This window comes from Homo sapiens, chromosome 8, assembly GCF_000001405.40.
Source record: "Homo sapiens chromosome 8, GRCh38.p14 Primary Assembly".
Lineage (NCBI taxonomy): Eukaryota > Metazoa > Chordata > Mammalia > Primates > Hominidae > Homo > Homo sapiens.
The window spans coordinates 141,544,672-141,563,563 of NC_000008.11; the positions used below are offsets into that span (position 1 = coordinate 141,544,672).

An 18,892-nucleotide genomic window follows, 5' to 3' on the forward strand; every position below is an offset into this window, starting at 1 on the left:
ATTGAGGCGGAAATCAGTCATGAAAGGGAGAGAAATGAAGAGGATCAGCCAGGAAATGCCCCCTCCCTGACTCGGCCCTTCTTCCACCTGCTCGTCCGCCTGCCTCCCTACCCAGGCCCTGAGGGATGCGGTCCTTCCCAGGAGCAGGCCTTGCTCCGGGGGGCTAGACCCCCACTCCCGACCCAGCAGGCTCCCCCAACCCCAAGAGCTCTCGGCATTCCCAGCCCCACTCACTGGTGGCTCCCGCTGCTTCCAGGGCCAAGTGGAAACAGCGGTGCCCTGGCTTCACAAAGCTGTGGAAAAGAAACCTGAACGTGTTGGAGCCAGCTCATTCTTTTTCTTTCCCCTTTTTGAAATCATGCTCATTTTACCTGTCCAGTGGGGAAAGATGAGCTGATACTCGCCAGCAAAGGAAATGCAGGTGGAAATTCCCCACGTGGCACCGCGCAGAGCAGAGACGGCTATCACCCGTGGTGTGGCCTCTTCCCTCTGGTCCTTTGCCTTCCACATAAGGGCTGCCAGCATCAGTGCTGTGCTTCCTGTTTATACAGTGACAAGCGCCCGCTGTGTCCCCTGCCTCCCACAGCCAGGCTGCTGCTCTCTTTCCATTTGTGGAGACACAACGGCTCCAAGCCAGGGGTTGTCGGTGTTGAAGCTCAGTCACCTGTCCTGCTCCAAGCCAGGCCAGTTTGAGAGCTTCCGGAAGCAGTTTTGTAGAAAACCGCTTGAGAAAATTGTCAAGGTGAAATCATGAGCGGGGCCCAGGGACATCTGCAGACCCCAGAGTCCACCCAGGAAAGGCTCCCAGAAAGCCTACCAAGAGGAAAACCGGGGCACTTTGAAGAAAAAGGCTTTAACATTTCTAACAACCAGTTTTATTGAGATACAGTTCACATACCACACAATTCACAGCTTTAAAGTGTACAACCGATGGGTTGGCAGCATATTCGCAGGGCCGTGCCACCAGCACCACAGTCCATTTTGGCACATTCTCGTACTTTCAAAGAGAAACGCTGTGTTCTTAGCCCCTGCCCCTTCCATACCCCCTGGCAGCCCCTGGCGACCCCTGTTTTACTTTCTGTCCTTGGATTTGCCTGTTCTGGGCATTTTCATATGAGTGGAATCAGGCCATGTGTGGCTTTCTTGTCTGGTTCCTTTCCGTTTCCTAGGGCTCTGAAGGCTCGCCCACACTGTGGTCTGTGACCGTGCAGCGCTCCGCCTCACCACGGCACATTGTTCTGTTGTGTGGATGGACTGCATTTTGTCTTTTCATCAGTTGATGAGCATGTGGGCTGTTTGAACTTTTTGGCTGTTAGGAATACAGCTGCTGTGAACATCTGTGTACAAGGTTTTGTGTGACATAGGCTTTGCTTTCTCTTGGGGATAGGCCTGGGAGTGGAATTGCTGGGTCACATGGCAGTGCCATCCTTAACTGTTTGAGGATGTACCCAGCAGCCTTCCAAAGTGACGGCACCATGTCACATTTCGGCTGGCAGTGTCGGAGGGGTTCGATTTCTCCAGCTCCTCATCAACACTTAGTCATTGTCTATCTTTTTGGTTCCAGCCATGTTAGTGGGTGTGAAATGGTATCTCACTGTGGAAAATGTGTTCAACATTTTCTATACCAAACTTTTACAAACGTTTTGGACCCCACATCCCTCTCTCCCTAAACACCTGTGCAGTCTCCACGAAACCAGGATGCAGGGCACCCCTCAGGACACGCTGGCCTTGCACAGGGTTGCTGAGGGTGAATGGTGGCATCATGACTGCCCAGGGTCTCCATGGGGTGGTGCTTAGTGTGTGTCTAATAAATGCACAGATGCATGAACGGCTGAGGGGCTCAATGGATGGCTTGGAAAGAGAGGACGTGGGGCCTCATGAGGTTGGAAAGAGGATGGGTAAGCATACTGACCATTGGCTGGGCCTTGCGCCTTGTGGAGGTGCAGAGCCTGAAGCCAGGGTCAAACGGTGGTGGCTCGGACCTGGCATCCCCATCCCCTGGCTGTGGGGCCCTAGTCACTCTGCACTCCATGACTTGTTTCCCCCTTCTGTAAAATGGAGGCTTCAGAGGGTTGTTCTGTTTGGTTGGATTCCCTTAGAAGCAGATTCTGAAGCCAGGAATCTAGTGTGCGTGGCTTATTTTGGGGTGTGTGAGATGTCTCAGGAAGCAGCTGTTCGGGAGGAGGGGTCTGTTATCAAGGCAGTTACCATGGTGGCACCTGAAGCTCAGCTGGGCTGGGATCTGGGATGTGGGTCCCACAGCTCAGATATGCGCTACCCCAAGGGTGGGGACGTGGATGTTTCAGTCACCACTTCCTGACCGTCCCTGGCTGAGGGCCACTGCCTAGGCCACACTCGTGGCCTGTTCCTAAGGCTGAGGGTCTTGGGTCCTTGCAGAAGGTCACTGCCAGCATTGTCACCAGAATTGAATGGGTCAAAATGCAACAAATCCCTGCCACACTGCCTGGACGTACAAGCTATGCCAATGCGACTTTGTCATCTGCCGTTCGTATCATGGTTGAGCATCTCTGATCTGAAATTCTTGGGACCAGAAGTGTCTTGTATTTCTTTGGATTTTGAAATATTTGTATTATACTTACTGGCTGAACATCCCAAATCTGGAAATCTGAAGTACAAAATGCTCCACTGAGCATTCCTTTGAATGTCACGTTGGTGTTCAAAAAGTTTTGGACTTAGGAACATTTTGAATTTGGGATTTTTGGATTTGGGATGCTCCACCTATATTAGGATTACTTGTCCACATGCCAAGAGCTGGGCTCCAGGTTATCTGCGTTTTCAGAGGATTGGCCCTCTGCCCTGGGGAGCGCTTGGTGGATGATCGGTACTAAGGCAGGAGCAGCGCTGCATGTGGCCACATGCATTCAGTTTCTCCAACACCTCCCAACTTTGGCAATGTGGCAGTGGAAGTGGCTGTTTCTTGCTCATGCAGACTTCTGTAGGGTGGCAGGGGTGACCGAGTGAGGCTGGGGGGTCTGCTCCACAGAGTCACTCAGGGCTCCAGGGTGATGAAAGACCCACCTTTGGTATATTGCTGGGCAATGCAGGAAGGGGAGGGGAAACTGCAGCCAGCCACTGGCTCTTCTGGACTTTGGCCTAGAAGGGACATGGTATCTGTTCTCATAGCCCATTGGGAGAGTGGAGGAGCAGACAGAATGTGTGGGAGTACAACTCTCCTGGTCACAGTGTCTGTGGCAAATGACTCTGCTTCTTGAAGCCTGTTTCCTTAGCTGTACAATCGGGAAAATCGTCTTCTGTTGAGGTCGTGTGAGAATCGAATGTGATTGCCAGTGAAGGAGCCTGGTGGAGGCACTGCATCTGTTGGTGCTTGATAAACGCGTAGTGCCCACCACTGTGGTTTTCTTTAGGTGCAGGGAGGATCCCCATGCCCTGGAGCCCTGCTTTGCCTCTGCATGGTGGGTGGGGTTTGGGTCTGGGAAGGGCAGTCAGGAGGTCTGACTGCCTGTGTCCTGGGAGGGGCCCGAGGCTCATTGCATCTTTCCAGAAAGTGACATTTGGAAGGAGGCGGGCCTGGGGCTTACTTAACATTTGAGTGCAATTGGTGAGTGCTCCCTGGGGCCAGCCAGATGCCTTTGCAGTGACATTAGCCGGCGGTGGAAGCTGGCAGAGAACACGCAGGCAGGATTTAGGGGCTCCAGGGGCATGCTTAATGGTGGAAGCTTCAGCCTCCGTGCCCCAGAGAGGGAGGGAGGAAGGACGAGGAAAATAGCCTCAGAATTATCCTCGCCCCTGTCTGCGGTCCTGAACTGGTTCTCCGCGGGCCGTGTTCTGGGTCAGAATTGAACGCCCACTCTCCCTCTGCCAGCTGTCACCCCATCCACCCTAGGTCCGGCCAGCAGCACGCTCCTCCCCCTCCTCCCCACCCAGGTCTGCCCTTCGTGGGGTGGCAGGGGCGGTCTGAGCTGAGTCCCCACAGGGCTTCAGGGAGGGCCGGGGTGGGGATGCAGACCCAGGAGCTGGTTCAGGCTCAGTTTACCTGCCTGTGCTTCTGCTTCCTGAGCAGCACGTCACCCGCCCCCAGACTCCCAGGGCCCCAGGCTGGCAAGGTGGCCTTCCAGAGTGCCTGGGGCTCCTGTGGTTCTGTGCCCGCCAGCACTGTCCTCACAGGCACAAGCACCTCATGGATGCTGGTGGGTCAGGTGGGCTGGCGTCTCACAGGACCTCTTCCGCCACTGCCCTCGAGGGTCCTCAGAGGTGGCCCCTCAGGGATGCTCTCAGCAGCCCTTACCCTCCAGCATGAGGCTTCCTCAGAGCTGCAGGGCAGAGATCTAGAAACGGGACTATGGGCCCAGGTCTGTGGCTGGTAGCCAGACTCTGAGTGGAGTAGGTTTGGATCCTGGGCTCCAGCAGGAAGAGTCCTGCGGGGCCACCCAGCCCTGCTCAGGGAAGGGGTGCCAAGGTGATGGGGCCCAGGCCCACTGCCTTCACTTCCTTCCCGGCTGGCTGCACCTGCGGTTGGGGGCATGAGGTGGGCAGGAGCCCTGCCACTTCTGCTGCGCTTCCTTCTTATGGCATGTGGCCCCCGAGGGAGCAGGACCGACTGTACCTCCGTTTCCTCCCTGGACTGGGCCCCTGGGGACTTGGGGATGAGTCCTGCCTTCCTGGCTTGTCCCCTGGCCTACTGCTTGGCTGGGTGTGCCTCAACCTGGAAAGCCCCCACCTCTATGTCCTAGGCTGTTCGCCACTGGCCACGTTGGCCTTGGCTGCGGTGTGTGGCTCAGAACCACTGGCCACGGTGGCCTTGGCTGTGGTGTGTGGCTCAGAACCACTGGCCACGGTGGCCTTGGCTGCGGTGTGTGGCTCCGAACCACTTGCCACAGTGGCCTTGGCTGTGGTGTGTGGCTGAGAACCACTGGCCACGGTGGACTTGGCTGTGGTGTGTGGCTCCGAACCACTTGCCACAGTGGCCTTGGCTGTGGTGTGTGGCTCAGAACCACTGGCCAGGGCCTTGGCTGCGGTGTGTGGCTCAGAACCAGGGTCTCCAGGACAGAAGGTAGAGCCTGGGGTCGCTGGGCGGCGGGCCTCTTGTCTCCGCAGGCAGCTCAGCCCAGCCCAGCAGTCAGGGTCCCAGCACCCGTGTACCCCGCAGCTGCCACTGAGGAGCAATGGGTGTCTTCCTGAGCCAGCCCACCCGCTTGAGGCTCCACCCCTCTGCTCGGCCCAGGAGGCCTCATAGTGGAGGGCACTGTTCCTCCTGTCACTCAGTGGACTGGCCCAGCCCAGCTGTCCCCAAGGAGTCCTCAGGCCTCACGGGCAGCCCAGGCCTGTCCTCTGCAGCCCCATGACATGGGTCATCCTGCCCCAGGCACCCAGCCTTCTTCTGATGCTTTCCCTTACCACCTGCTGACACAGGCGTACCCTGTGAGTCCCCGGCAGGCGTCACTGCCCCCAGGGCTCCACGTCGTCTCTCCTGCATGTGCTCAGTGCTGGGTGGGCCACTCCCAGCTGGAACCCATGTCCTGAGCCACCCTTCACAGTCAGGCCCGTCAGCTCCCCACGGGCCCAGAGCTGGGCCTGTATCTGCCAAGCACGGTGATCCAGTGGGTCGGGGTGGACATCAGAAGACAAACCAGGTGAGCAGGGAGGAGGATGGCCACCGTCAGGCAGATTCCAGGCTAAGGACTCCTCAGCAAGGCTAGTGCCGCAAAAGCACATGCAGCAGAGGGAGCAGGGGCCAGGGGTGCTTCCGCCTGGTGGGCAGGGGTCTGTCTGGGAGCCGGGGCGCTTCTGCCTGGTGGGCAGGGGTCTGTCTGGGAGCCGGGGCGCTTCTGCCTGGTGGGCAGGGGTCTGTCTGGGAGCCGGGGCGCTTCTGCCTGGTGGGCAGGGGTCTGTCTGGGAGCCGGGGCGCTTCTGCCTGGTGGGCTGGGGTCTGTCTGGGAGCCGGGGCGCTTCCGCCTGGTGGGCTGGGGTCTGTCTGGGAGCCGGGGCTCTTCCGCCTGGTGGGCTGGGGTCTGTCTGGGGGCCGGGGCGCTTCCGCCTGGTGGGCTGGGGTCTCTCTGGGGGCCGGGGCGCTTCTGCCTGGTGGGCTGGGGTCTGTCTGGGAGCCGGGGCGCTTCTGCCTGGTGGGCTGGGGTCTCTCTGGGGGCCGGGGCGCTTCCGCCTGGTGGGCTGGGGTCTCTCTGGGGGCCGGGGCGCTTCCGCCTGGTGGGCTGGGGTCTCTCTGGGGGCCGGGGCGCTTCTGCCTGGTGGGCTGGGGTCTCTCTGGGGGCTGGGGCGCTTCTGCCTGGTGGGCTGGGGTCTCTCTGGGGGCCGGGGCGCTTCCGCCTGGTGGGCTGGGGTCTGTCTGGGGGCCGGGGCGCTTCCGCCTGGTGGGCTGGGGTCTCTCTGGGGGCCGGGGCGCTTCCGCCTGGTGGGCTGGGGTCTGTCTGGGAGCCGGGGCGCTTCTGCCTGGTGGGCTGGGGTCTCTCTGGGGGCCGGGGCGCTTCTGCCTGGTGGGCTGGGGTCTCTCTGGGAGCCGGGGCGCTTCTGCCTGGTGGGCAGGGGTCTCTCTGGGGGCCGGGGTGCTTCCGCCTGGTGGGCTGGGGTCTGTCTGGGAGCCGGGGCGCTTCCGCCTGGTGGGCTGGGGTCTCTCTGGGGGCCGGGGCGCTTCTGCCTGGTGGGCAGGGGTCTCTCTGGGGGCCGGGGTGCTTCCGCCTGGTGGGCTGGGGTCTGTCTGGGAGCCGGGGCGCTTCCGCCTGGTGGGCTGGGGTCTGTCTGGGGGCCGGGGCGCTTCTGCCTGGTGGGCTGGGGTCTGTCTGGGAGCCGGGGCGCTTCTGCCTGGTGGGCTGGGGTCTCTCTGGGGGCCGGGGCGCTTCCGCCTGGTGGGCTGGGGTCTGTCTGGGGGCCGGGGCGCTTCCGCCTGGTGGGCTGGGGTCTGTCTGGGGGCTGGGCTGGCGCCCCTCTAGAGGACCTTAGTTCCCTGGCCATCCTGAGCAGGGGCTGCCTGCAGAGTTGCTCCTTTATGTGCTGGGCACACCCAGGCCTAGCACGGAGGCACAGTCGGTCCCGCTCCCTCAGTGGCTACATGCCACATGAAGGGAGTGCAGCAGAGGTGGCAGAGCCCCCGACCCCCTCATGCCCCCAACTGCAGGTGGAGCCATGCCTGCCCCCCACCCCCCGACCTCCATGCTCGGCCCCATCCCCTTCCGCCCTACCCTGGCCCATGTCCCTCCTGCAGGCACCAGTTTCCCTGCAGTCTGGCCCTGCCATGCCCACCTCAGCTGTCCTGAGCTGGGATGCCAGGAGACGCAGCGCCAGCCCCATCCCTTCCAGACCCGGCCAGCTCCACCTCCTGCTCATGAGGCCCCAAGTCTGGCTCCTTCCCCCTCCCTCTCTGAGCAGTTTCTCTGCCTCTCTTTGCCTCATTCTGGTCCCTGGGCCTCCCTCCAGTGTCCTTGAGAGTCTCAGCCCAGCTCTTGGCTGTGCGAGATGCCTGCTACTCTCCTGTGGGAACAGCAACTGAGACGCCCTTCCCGATTTCCGAAAAAGCACCAAACCTAAGTGGTTGCCAGGTTGGATCTTCCACTACTCATTCACTTAACCTCTTCCCATTTTGACAGGAGACACAGAATTGCTTCTTGCATTTTCCTTGCTCGAGGGCGACCCTGCACACAATTACTCAGAACAGGTGGAGGGCCAGTAGCAGAAAGCACCTTTCACAGTCCCCAGGAGCCCCCTCCCCTCCTGCTGTGCCTTGCTTCTCCAGGCACCCCTCAATTCCCCTACTGTACCCCCGAACCTGCCAGTTCCTTAGGGGCAGAAGGGACACTGGTGCCTTGACCCGTGTGGCATGGTGGCTCTACTGTCCATAGGGAGGGCGTGTGGCCCTGGCTGGGCTATCTGAAGCTCACCGGGACTCAAGGAGACTCAGTCATTCAGTCACTCAACAAACACTGCCTGAGCACTTACCAAGGGTCCCTCAGCCCTCCCATCTCTTGCTCTGGGCAGCTTGGAAGGGCAGCTGGCCTCAGCTTCCTGTCCCAAATGCTTGCTCATAACTCTGGCCTGATGCTAGCGGTGCTAAGTGTGAACAGTGGAACTTCCTGCTGCCCAGTGCCGTCTTGATCTGTGTAGGCTGATTTTAGTCTAATAGTGAATGGTGTGTGTGCATGAGTTTGTGTGAGTGTGCACCCACCTGTGAGCAATTGTGAATGCTCAGTGAATGCTGACATACACACAGTGCACATATCTTTCCATATGCTCCAGATATTCACTCTAGGGCTAAGCTGCCCACACAGGCGCTGCAAAGCAGGGTAGATGCCGACTCAGCAACAGCCGCCCAGCTGGGAGCATCCCCCAGGCATCAAGGGGACTCGGCTTAACCTTCCAGAGCTCTCTTCATCATACTCTTCCTCACTGTCTTCACCATCACTGTACAAAAAGCTTTCGTATCTCTCATCTCATTTTATAGAGTCCTCATAGCAGCCAGGGGTCCAGCAGCGGAGGGTAGCACATGCATTTTGCAGATGTGGACAGTGGCACTGGACAGCGGAGACGGCCCTGCCCACAGGCCGAGGGTGGACCTGGGTAGGTTAGGCTGTCAGGCCGAACACGCAGGGGACAGGCACTGGTTGGCCCTTCAGGTACCGTTACCTCTTCACAGATGGGCACTGAGAACTGACAGATAGATCAGGAAGGGCTTCCTGGAGGAGGTGTCCTGAGGAAGTGGCTTAGAGCTAGCCAGCTTAGAGCCAAGGCTTCTCTGTGCATTGAGCAAACCCCTGAGTTCTCAGCCTGGGCTTGTCCTGTGTAGCATGGGGCAGGCTGCCTCGGGCTTTGCCAAGGTCCTTTTTGCTCTGAGGCTTTGGGACTTTGGCTCCAGGTCCAGGCTCTTCCCCGATCTATCAGCACTGAGGTCTTTGGCATGTGAGATGGAGCGGGCCAGTGAGGGACTGGATTCTAGCAGTGGCAGCGGGGCCGTCGCACCATATGAGGCACACACACGGCCAAGCCATCCCCACTGCTCCTGTCAGATGTGCAGGTGAGGCCAGCAAACTGCAAAGGCTCGTGTGAGCCCAGACAGCATCCTGTGGAGCAGAGGACCCATCCCAGCTGAGCCCTGTTCAAACGACCAACTCAGGATTGTGAACACAGAATGTCACTGCTTGAAGCTGCTTAGTTTTTGGCGTGATGGTTATACCACGACAGGAACTGACACACTCGATTCATCACCACCACTGCTTGGCTCATCCTTATGAGAGGGACATCAGACTCCCTATGGTGAGGTGGTTAAGAGAACAAACTTTGGAGACAGAGAAACCTGGATGCAAAACCCTGCATCTCGTAATGTCCCTGAGGCTGATTCCTCATCTGAAAAATAAGGATTAAAAATATTAGACTCCAAACTCATTGGTTGTTGTAATGGTTAAACACACATAAGTAATTTAGACACTCCTGACCTGGCTGTGGTGAGGCTGGGGGAAGAGTGAGAGAGGGGAGGCTCCTGGAATAGAAGCAGGGAGAGGTGAGGGAGCTCAGGCACAGGGACAGGGGGCCTGAGGGCTGCTGGCCAGGAAGGGATTACATCACACAGCTCCTCAGGCCCTGAGCACCAAGTATTATGCAGGGTCGGGCAGGTCTGCAGAGAGAACCAGGCCACCAACATCTCTACAGAGAAGGCCCAAATCTTAGTCCTGCTGGCTAAGATTACTTTTATTTTGCCTTTAAACTTGAGAGAGAGAGAGAGAGAGAGAGAGAGAGAGAGAGAGAGAGAGAAAGAGAGAGACAGACAGCGCCTGCACGCAAGAAGAGAAGCAGGCAGAGGACGTAATGGAGGCTGAACACTGCACTTGGAGGAGGGGTGGTGGCTTTCACTGCCTGGTCTCCAGTGTGGTCAGGTCTCACTGGACTTGGAACTGTGCACCTGCCTGCTCAGAAGGCACGAGGCAGAGGAGTGGCCACCTTCAGACCTCCAGGTTCCAGGGAAGGGAGGCAGAGAGGGAAGGTAGAGCTTTGTTGAGAGAAATGGAGGAGGAAAATGGAACCACAGAGGGGCCAGGAGGGGAGAGAAACTCCTGTCTGGGCAGAAGCTGAGGTGTGTCCATGGTGTTGGACGTGTGTCGTGGTGTTGGAGGTGTGTCCATGGTGTTGGAGGCATGTCCGTGGTGTTGGAGGTGTGTCCATGGTGCTGGAGGCAAGTCCATGGCACTGCAGGCATGCCCATGGCATTGAAGGCATGTTCATGGTGTTGAAGGTGTGTCATAGTGTTGGAGGCATGTCCATGGTGTTGAAGTTGTGTCATGGTGTTAAAGATGTGTTGTGGTGTTGGAGGTGTGTCCATGTTGTTGAAGGCATGTCCATGGTGTTGGAGGCGTGTCCATGGTGTTGGAGGCATTCTCATGGCATTGAAGGCATGTTCACGGTGTTAAAAGTGTGTCATGATGTTGAAGGTGTGTCATGGTGTTGGAGGTGTGTCATGGTGTTAAAGGTGGTTCATGGTGTTGAAGGTGTGTCCATGGTGTTGAAGGTGTGTCGTGGTGTTGGAGGTGTGTCCATGGTGTTGGAGGTGTGTCATGGTGTTGGAGGTGTGTCCATGGTGTTGGAGGTATGTCATGGTGTTGGAGGTGTGTCCATGGTGTTGGAGGTGTGTCATGGTGTTGAAGGTGTGTCCATGGTGTTGGAGGTATGTTCATGGCATTGGAGGTGTATCCATGGTGTTGGAGGTGTATCCACACCGTTGGAGGCATGTCCATCACGTTGGAGGTGTATTCATCCCGTTGAAGGCATGTCCATTGCATTGGAGGTGTGTCCATGCCATTGAAAGTGTGTCCATCTGTTGGAGGCCTATGCACAATACTGAAAGAGTGTGCATGGCATTGGAGGCATGTCCATGTGTTAAAGGCTTGTTAAAGGAAAGACTAGAAAGGAGGGTTGGACTCTTGCTGAAGGTCTTTGATGTGGGGACTTGGGCACTGGAGCAGTGGAGCCCTGGGGGGCCCTGGGAAGGCATGTGGCTTGATTTGACAGGCATTTAGAGAAAAATCACTGGTATGGTTTTGCTGTGTCCCCACCCAGTCTCATCTTGAATTGTAGCTCCATAATCCCCACATGTCATGGGAGGTAATTGAATCATGGGGTCAGGTTTTTCCTGGGCTGTTCTCCCGATAGTGAATAAGTCTCATGAGATTTGATGGTGGTATAAAGGGAAGTTCCCTGCAGATTCTCTCTTGCCTGCCACCATGTAAGATATGCCTTTTCTCCTCCTTCGCCTTCTGTCACAATTGTGAGGCCTCCCCAGCTATGTGGAACTGTGAGTCCATTAAACCTCTTTTTCTTTATAAATTACCCAATCTTGAGTATTTCTTCAGAGCAGTATGAAAATGGACTAATACAATCACCCTCCCAGTGTAGGGTGAGAGTTGGGCTGAGGCCAGGAGGGACAGAGAAGCTTGGGAGGGGACAGAGAATGGAGGCTGATGGAGACCATATAGGAGGTAGAATGACAGAAGCCTGGGGGGACAGGGAACTGCCAGTTGCTGCTTTTCCTGGGTCATTCCATGGGATTGCCTCGAGTTTCCTTCCAGGTGGGCCTCCTACCCACAGCAGGCTGGCCCAGGACCCCAGGCTCCATGAGCTTGGCACTGGCCAGTGTCCTGCAGTTAGTGTTGGTGGGGCTGAGGCTTAAATCTCGCCAGTTTCCCTCCAAAGCTTGCGAGGGGGCCCGGCCCAGGCCACTGAGTCTCCCAGGGTTGTCTTGACCGTGGTGCAGGAGGGATGCTGTTGAAGTTTTGTCTTAATTTGAGGCCCCACTGAAGATTTTGAGACAGGGAGAAGGGTGCAGGTCCTCTGGGAGCTGGCCAGGGATGCAGGGCATATAGTCTTCAGGTGGCCGTAACAAAATTCCACAAAGTTGGCACCTTAAACTGCAAACGTGGACTGTCTCACCGCTCTGGAGGCTGAAGCCTGAGATCCAGGTGCTGGCAGGGCCCCCTCTCTCCGAGGCTCCCAGGGAGGCTCCTTCCTGCCTCTTCCAGCTGCCAGTGGCGCCAGGCATTCCTTGGCTTGTGGCCGCATCCCCCAGTCTGCTTTCATCGTCTCACAGCTGTCGTCCCTCTGTGCCTGCATCCATGTTTTTTGTTCTTTTTTTTTGAAACAGAGTCTGGCTCTGTCACCCAGGCTGGAGTGCAGTGGTGTGATCTTGGCTCACTGAACCTCTCTGCCTTTGAGGTTCAGGTGATTCTCCTGCCTCAGCCTCCTGAGTAGCTGGGACTACAGGTGCATGCTACCAAACCTGGCTAATTTTTTTGTATTTTATTTTATTTTTTTAGTAGAGTTTGGGTTTTACCATGTTGGCCAGGCTGGTCTTGAACTCCTGACCTCAGGTATCTGCCTGCTTCAGCCTCACAAAATGTTGGGATTACAGGCGTGAGCCACTGCACCTGGCCCCAAGTTTCTTTTCCATATGAAGACCCATCCTATTGGATTAGGGCTCACATGAATCCAGCGCTACCTCATCTTAGTGACGCCTGCATAGACCCTATTTCCAAATAAATTCACATTCACAGGTTCTGGTGATGTGAACTGCCTGGGGGCACGATTCAACCCAGAACAGGGGTGACACCAGGAAGGGAGGGCAGCCCATTGGGGGCGTGTGGCCCAGTTGGCCACTGCTCTGGGAAACTGACACTTAAACCTGTTGGAGACCCTGGAGGGCAGCCAGGGAGGCCGGATGCTGAGCTGCGGTGTGAGAGAGCTGCGGTTCATCCAGCACCTCCTGCCTCCGCTGGTGGCTTCCTGGGTCCCTCCCTCCTTGCCATCACCCCGTTGCCTCCTGTCTCATCTTTGAGATCCCTGTGGTCTGGACATAAAAGGGGCATGTCTGTCCACTGGGGCGCTTGGGCTGAGAACTCCCACTGGCCCAATCCCCGAGACCCCATCCCCACATTCATGTGTCTGTCTGGGGAGAGCTGCTCTCCCGTTATTTCTGGGAATATTTTTATTCATTGTTCATCTTGGCATTTATTGTTGACATTCCAAGAACAGTCAAACAAGATAAATGTCCCATCTCCAGGACCCACAAACCGCTGCCTCTCCCCGCTGTAAATTCATTTCTAGCTATTGAGCAGTCAGGGGTGCCTGTGCCGGGTTAAGTGGAGGGAGGCGGGTGCCAGGCCTGCCGGGGAGGGGCTGCAAGGTGCTGGAGGGAGATAAAGCCCTGAGACCAGATGCGATTACACCCGGCCAACGTGCGAGGGCCCTGGGGATCCTGGGCTCTGGCACAGCCTGCCCATGGGGGTGCCCAGCTCTGCCCCACGTGGGCGTGCCAGCCTGTGGGGGCTCTGTGAGACTCAGGTTCCTGTGTGGGCCTGCACGGCTGGCTCACGGCTCAATGTCCTGTTGATGTCGCTGACCTGGGCTTCTCTGCCTTCAGGTGGATGTTAGTCAGGGCTCTCCAGACAAACAGAACCAGTAGGCGTTATGTAGATAGACTGCTGGATCCATCAAGAGAGCTTTATTGTGGGGGTTTGGCTCACACCATCATGGAGCCTGAGAAATCTCACGGTCCACCATCTGTAAGCCCAGGACCCAGGGGAGCTGAGAGTGTAAGGCCCAGCCCAGGTCTGAAGGCCTGAGAGCCCTGAGTGCTAACTTCCAAACATATACCCAGAAATCATGTTTTCTTCATGGTGTTGAAGGTGTGTCCACGAGGAGCACAAATGCCCTAGGCACTGGGCACTCATTGCCCATCCCAGGTGCCACGCAAGTCTGTGGCCTGCGCTTCCCCCTTTCAGTTTCACACTGACACTGTGGGGTGGGTACTGTTCCCAACACGTTTTATACAAGGGGAGACCAGAGCTCAGAGAGGTCAAGCCACCTGCCTGAGGTCGCACAGCTGGCCTGTGGAGAAGCCGGGGCTCTGCTACCCAGGTCCGCCTGATCTTGCCATCATCCGATGCTCTTGCCGACGGCACCACATGGCTGCGGAAAGGGTAAGTGATGTGATGAGCACAAATGCCCTTCAAAGACCAACTTCTGGGCGACTATCTGCTGTCATGCCTCTCTCTGGACCCCAAGCCAGGCCACCCCTTAGCCCGGTCGGGTTGACACATAAATAAACCATCACAGGGCGTCCCATTTCTCCCGCACAGGATTTCTGGGGTCATTAGAGATAAATTAGGTCAGCCGTCGGGACGTATTTACACTTAGCAGGTGCTCCCTAAATGGGCTCTACCCCTCCCATGTGCCCCTCTCACCTTCTCGCGGTGCTGGTGATGCTGCTGAATAAGGCCTCTCGCTTCCTGGGCCCTGTGCTGGGAGCAGGGCTGGGGCTGGGATCAGAGACCTCGTCCTGCGCCTCAGATGGCTCGTCTGGCTTGGGGGCCAGAGAGAGGCATTGCAGCTGACAGTCGCCCGGAGGTTGGTCTTCAAAGGGCATTTGAGCTCACCACCTCACTTACCCTTTCCACAGCCATGTGGTGCCCTCAGCAAGAGCATCGGATGGAGGCTGTGGGGCAAGGTCAGGCAGACCTGGGTAGCAGAGCCCTGGCTTCTCCACGGACCAGCTGTGTGACCTCAGGCAGGTGTCTTGACCTCTCTGAGCTCTGGTCTCCCCATGCATAAAGCATGTTGGTAACAGTACCCACCCCACAGTGCTGGTGTGAGGCTGAAAGGGGGAAGTGCAGGCCACAGGCTTTCATGGTGCCTGGGATGGGCAATGAGAGCCCAGCAAGTGCAAGCTCTTGATATGACCGTCCCCATTTTCTAGATGAGGAGACTGAGGCTCAGGAAATTAGAGGCCTTACTCAGGACCTTTACCACATGATCAAGGCTGGAATGAAAATCCCAACTCCGTCCCAGGCCCTGGCCTCTGTGTGCCGAGAACATTAGGCAGAGAGAAGTTGTGCCTGGCAGAGGGAAAGATGGCCACAGCAGGACCAGTCAGGGAGGGCTTCCTGGGAGTGGGGACACCTAGGCAGTGGCCCGCAGGGTGGTTAGGACTTGGCTGGGCTGAGAGGCAGTGAGAGGTCACTCCTGTTCAGGGCAGGGAACGGGCCACACCCTTCATAGCTGAGCCAGGGAACAGGCATACTGTTCACGAGCAGCCAGTGGAGACCGAGGCTCAGAGAGGACAGGCAGCCCAGCAGAGCTGCTCAGCGTGAGGCGCAGGGGCTGGGACTCATCCCCACACCCTCACTCCCTCACCTCTGCCCCCGCATCCTCTCCTTCTGCCCTGGCAAGTGTGAGCATGGCTCCCAGGCAGGCTCACTTTCCTGTCATGACTTGGCAGCAAGAGCTAAGGGGCTTGCTCTTAGCTGGCCTGGAGTTGGACACACTCAAGTGCTGGCCAGTGAGGTGGGTATTTGGAGGCACGTGGATCCCAGGAGCAGGTGCTGGCAGGACACGAGTCCCAGGCTTGGGAGGTCAGGGGCGACATCCTCAGACTTGATCTCCATGCCCCAGGCCTGGAATGTCTGCTGGAGCTGGGGATGACCCGAGTGAGCTCAGGTCCCACCATGCAGCCCAGCGGGCCTTCCTGTGACAGTGTTGGTGGCTGGCATGGGGGCTGGACAGTGGAAGGCCACCCCTGGTGAATGGCCGACTGGCCACCTCATCCTTGTGGGGCCGCCACAAGTGCCTCTACCCAGCTCTGCTGTGCACTGAAAATGCAGGAGAGGGGGTGGGGTGGGCGGGGTGCAGGGGTGTGTGGTTCCGGGCTAGGAGGCAGGAAGGGGGGCATCTTTGAGTGGAGACAGAGTCCAAAAATGTAACAGCTGCCTTTCAGGGGACACAGGGAGGCAGGCACTGGATGTGGCCACGTGCCAGGCTCTGTGCTGAGGGCAGGGTGCTCTCTGGGGTCTGAACCGTCAGCGTCCTCCAGCCCCAGGTGGAATCTGAGGCCTCTGTCCTCCTCCCAGGAGGGAGCCAGATGGAGGGCAGGGGAGGAGGGAGGGAGCCAGGGGAAGAGGGACTCGAGTGCACGAGCCGTAACACTAGGGGCTGCGAGGGTCGGCCGGGCAGTACCCAGAAGTCCATGCCCATATCGGGCATGGCTGATGGTGGGCGGCGACTGGCTTTCCAGGGAGGAGGGACTGATGCCAAGGCTGCAGCTATGATTGCGTTTTCCAAGACTGGAAACTGAGGGTGTGTGACCAGCCTACTGTCGGCCAATTCGCAGCAGTGAGGCCAGAATTGGCATCAACCTGAAAGGTTCTTGCTCCATGTCTGTCAGCGGGAGTAAATTCCCTGTCCCTGCAGAAGCCCAGATTGTGTCTGAGAATGTACCAGTGTCGATGTCGGAACGTCATGAAGTCACTGGGGGCTGTCTCTAGGGCCTGGAGGTGAACAGACACGTGCATGCGAGCCTGTGTGTGTGTGCATGCGTGTGTGATTCGGGGCCCTGCCTCTCTTTGCTCTTCTCCCTCAGCTTCTTTCATTGTTCTGGCCCATCCCCCTCAAGGGAGGAGCCTCTCAGTGTCCTAAATGACAGGCTTGTTTGGAAAGGGAGGTAACCTGCTTGCACACCTCCAGGGCCAGGAGGCTCACCACCTTGCGGACAACCCATTGCCTTGTGCACACTGTGAGCCTGTGAGAAAGTCCCTCCTTGGGCTGAGCCAAGCTACGCTCGTGTCCCTGCTCCTGGCTGTGCCCATGGAGGCCCTGGATGGCCATGCTGCTGCCCCAGGCCCTCCCGCAGTAAAATTCCCAGCCTCCTTCTAGTCTGACCCTGGCCACTGTCCTCCAGATGAAGGCCAGGTGCCCCGAGGAGGCTCCTGACCTCACCAGCACCTCCCTTTGCCCATTCATGCTGGTCTGGACTGGGGTGTGGAGAGTGCACTTGTGCCTTCATATGCATCCACAGCACACACACAGGGATCCAGATACATGCATGGATGTAGGCACACCACATACACACACACAGCACACACACAGGCACCCAGATACATGCACAGATGCAGATACACCACATATGTACACACAGCACACACACACACACACACGGACACCTAGGCACACTCATGGATGTAGGTACACCACATTTGCACACACACAGCACACACACACAGGGACCCAGATACATGCACAGATGCAGGTCCACAGATGCATATGCCACACACAGGCGTGGCTATATGCACACGCATCCCATGAACCCGACAGGCACACGGACGCAGATACACGAACATTAGAACGTGGACCTCCACAGCCACATGCAGTGCATGTCCAGACACAAGCATGAGCACACAGACACATACACCTCGTGTGGGACACAGCCGGTGGCTCTGGAGAGCTGGCAGGAAGCCTGGAGTGGCCCTGAGTTTGCCTGTTATGTGTGCACAGCTTGGTGCACCCAGCCTCAGCAGCCCTTTCAGTGAGGTTTTTATGGTTTTGTTTTGTTTTTTAGAGATAGGGTCTCACTGTGTCACCCAGGCTGGAGAGCATTGGCACAATCATAGCTCACTGCAGCCTCAAATTCCTGGACTCCAGTGATCCTCCTGCCTTAGCCTCCCAAGGTGTTGGGATTACAGGCGTGAGCCACTGTGCCTGGCCTCAATGAAGCTTTTTGGGCAGGCCTTCGGTCTTTTCCCGTATCCCTGCTTAAACATTAAACATTTCCCTGGGCAATGATGCCACCTCCTGTACCAACTGACTGTCCCATCGGCTGCCCAGGTTTGTGGGGACAGGGTGTTCCTCCTGCACCCTCCAATGTGACATTTCCAGCCCCTCCCACCATGCCCACTGGCTGCTGGGCCCTCTCCAAGCCCAGGCTGGAGCAGGCTGGCAGCTGATGTGTTTATTTGCCTGGCAGCGGGGGCGGGAGGGAAGGCGTGGAGGTAATTGGTACATTTTGTAAGCAATCATCCCCTGGCACCCTCTGCCGCAGCGTGTGGGCCGCCAGATCCCGTTAATCATGACCTGGAGGCCTGGGTCCCCCCGCCACCTGACAGCCTCATTTCTCTCCTCGGAAGGATGGAGCCGCTCTGCCTCCCTAATGGCGTTATCTGTTATTCCCGGACACACTGCTCTCTCCTGGCACACTGATGGAGCCAGGGACTGTGCACGGGGCCCAGCGGGTGGGTGAAGAGGGTGGCAAGCAGGGGAAGACACTGATTCTGCAGCCTGTGACTGGCCAGAACTTGGTCGAGTGTTAGGGGCTTCTTCTGCACAGCACTGCACCCATTTCAGCAGCAGAGACAGCGGGAGAGGCTGGTGCCCCACAGGAGGCCACGCTACTTGAGGTAGGTGGCATTTGATACCAGGTGCCCCTGACTGTAGCCTCCCGTGGAATTTTGGGGCTCACTCCAAAATGAAAACTCAGAGCCCATTGTTAAAAAGTTATTAATCATTCCACGACGGCAACAGCAGAGCATTAAACCAAGCAGCAGGCCTGGAGAGCTCGGGCCCCATGTGAATGCACAGGCCACATGGCATGCAGCTGCCCTGTCCACGTGTTCTGACACAAGCTTATGAGCGCACACACATCCACCTCACATGTGTGCACACATGCACAGGCATGCCCGGCTGCAGGCAGGCATGGGGGTCACAGTGGGGTGACCCAGACCCAGGCCTTGCTCATCAGGGGTCACCAGCCAAACCCCTCCCTACCTCAGTTTCCTCACTGCTTACAGGGGCCCAGGACACAGCCCAATGCGGTGGCCAAGATGGTGCCCAGTTGAGGGAACTGGCTGGTGCCCCCTGGCTGGCCTCCCACAGGGAAACGTGCCTGGCATCATGATTGATGTTGCTCTTAATGACGGAAATGACGGCCGTGTATGAGAGACGCAGGAGCAAATCATCCCTGCATGATTAATAAAGGGCCCAGGGGATGCCGGTGTGATTAATTCCTGCACTTACTCTACCTCACCTGCTCATACATGCTCACACACATGCACACAGCACCCACTGGGTGCCAGGGCTTTGCAGGGGCTGGCCCTACCCA

The 18,892-nt window shown here is 57.6% G+C and overlaps 7 annotated features.

Moving 5' to 3' along the window:
- Nucleotides 3,329–3,833: an enhancer, noted in NCBI's record as "H3K4me1 hESC enhancer chr8:142558100-142558604 (GRCh37/hg19 assembly coordinates)". NCBI's record gives its function as "activates a minimal SCP1, AML or CMV promoter by ChIP-STARR-seq in naive H9 embryonic stem cells {active_cell/tissue: H9 hESC(naive)}" and the evidence as "EXISTENCE:reporter gene assay evidence [ECO:0000049][PMID:30033119]".
- Nucleotides 3,834–4,338: an enhancer, noted in NCBI's record as "H3K4me1 hESC enhancer chr8:142558605-142559109 (GRCh37/hg19 assembly coordinates)". NCBI's record gives its function as "activates a minimal SCP1, AML or CMV promoter by ChIP-STARR-seq in naive H9 embryonic stem cells {active_cell/tissue: H9 hESC(naive)}" and the evidence as "EXISTENCE:reporter gene assay evidence [ECO:0000049][PMID:30033119]".
- Nucleotides 6,788–7,289: an enhancer, noted in NCBI's record as "H3K4me1 hESC enhancer chr8:142561559-142562060 (GRCh37/hg19 assembly coordinates)". NCBI's record gives its function as "activates a minimal SCP1, AML or CMV promoter by ChIP-STARR-seq in naive H9 embryonic stem cells {active_cell/tissue: H9 hESC(naive)}" and the evidence as "EXISTENCE:reporter gene assay evidence [ECO:0000049][PMID:30033119]".
- Nucleotides 7,290–7,789: an enhancer, noted in NCBI's record as "H3K4me1 hESC enhancer chr8:142562061-142562560 (GRCh37/hg19 assembly coordinates)". NCBI's record gives its function as "activates a minimal SCP1, AML or CMV promoter by ChIP-STARR-seq in primed H9 embryonic stem cells {active_cell/tissue: H9 hESC(primed)}" and the evidence as "EXISTENCE:reporter gene assay evidence [ECO:0000049][PMID:30033119]".
- Nucleotides 11,968–12,230: a silencer, noted in NCBI's record as "fragment chr8:142566739-142567001 (GRCh37/hg19 assembly coordinates)". NCBI's record gives its function as "represses an EF-1alpha promoter that drives an FKBP-Casp9 reporter gene in an ReSE screen in HepG2 liver carcinoma cells {active_cell/tissue: HepG2}" and the evidence as "EXISTENCE:reporter gene assay evidence [ECO:0000049][PMID:32094911]".
- Nucleotides 14,734–15,725: an enhancer, noted in NCBI's record as "H3K4me1 hESC enhancer chr8:142569505-142570496 (GRCh37/hg19 assembly coordinates)". NCBI's record gives its function as "activates a minimal SCP1, AML or CMV promoter by ChIP-STARR-seq in primed H9 embryonic stem cells {active_cell/tissue: H9 hESC(primed)}" and the evidence as "EXISTENCE:reporter gene assay evidence [ECO:0000049][PMID:30033119]".
- Nucleotides 15,726–16,717: an enhancer, noted in NCBI's record as "H3K4me1 hESC enhancer chr8:142570497-142571488 (GRCh37/hg19 assembly coordinates)". NCBI's record gives its function as "activates a minimal SCP1, AML or CMV promoter by ChIP-STARR-seq in primed H9 embryonic stem cells {active_cell/tissue: H9 hESC(primed)}" and the evidence as "EXISTENCE:reporter gene assay evidence [ECO:0000049][PMID:30033119]".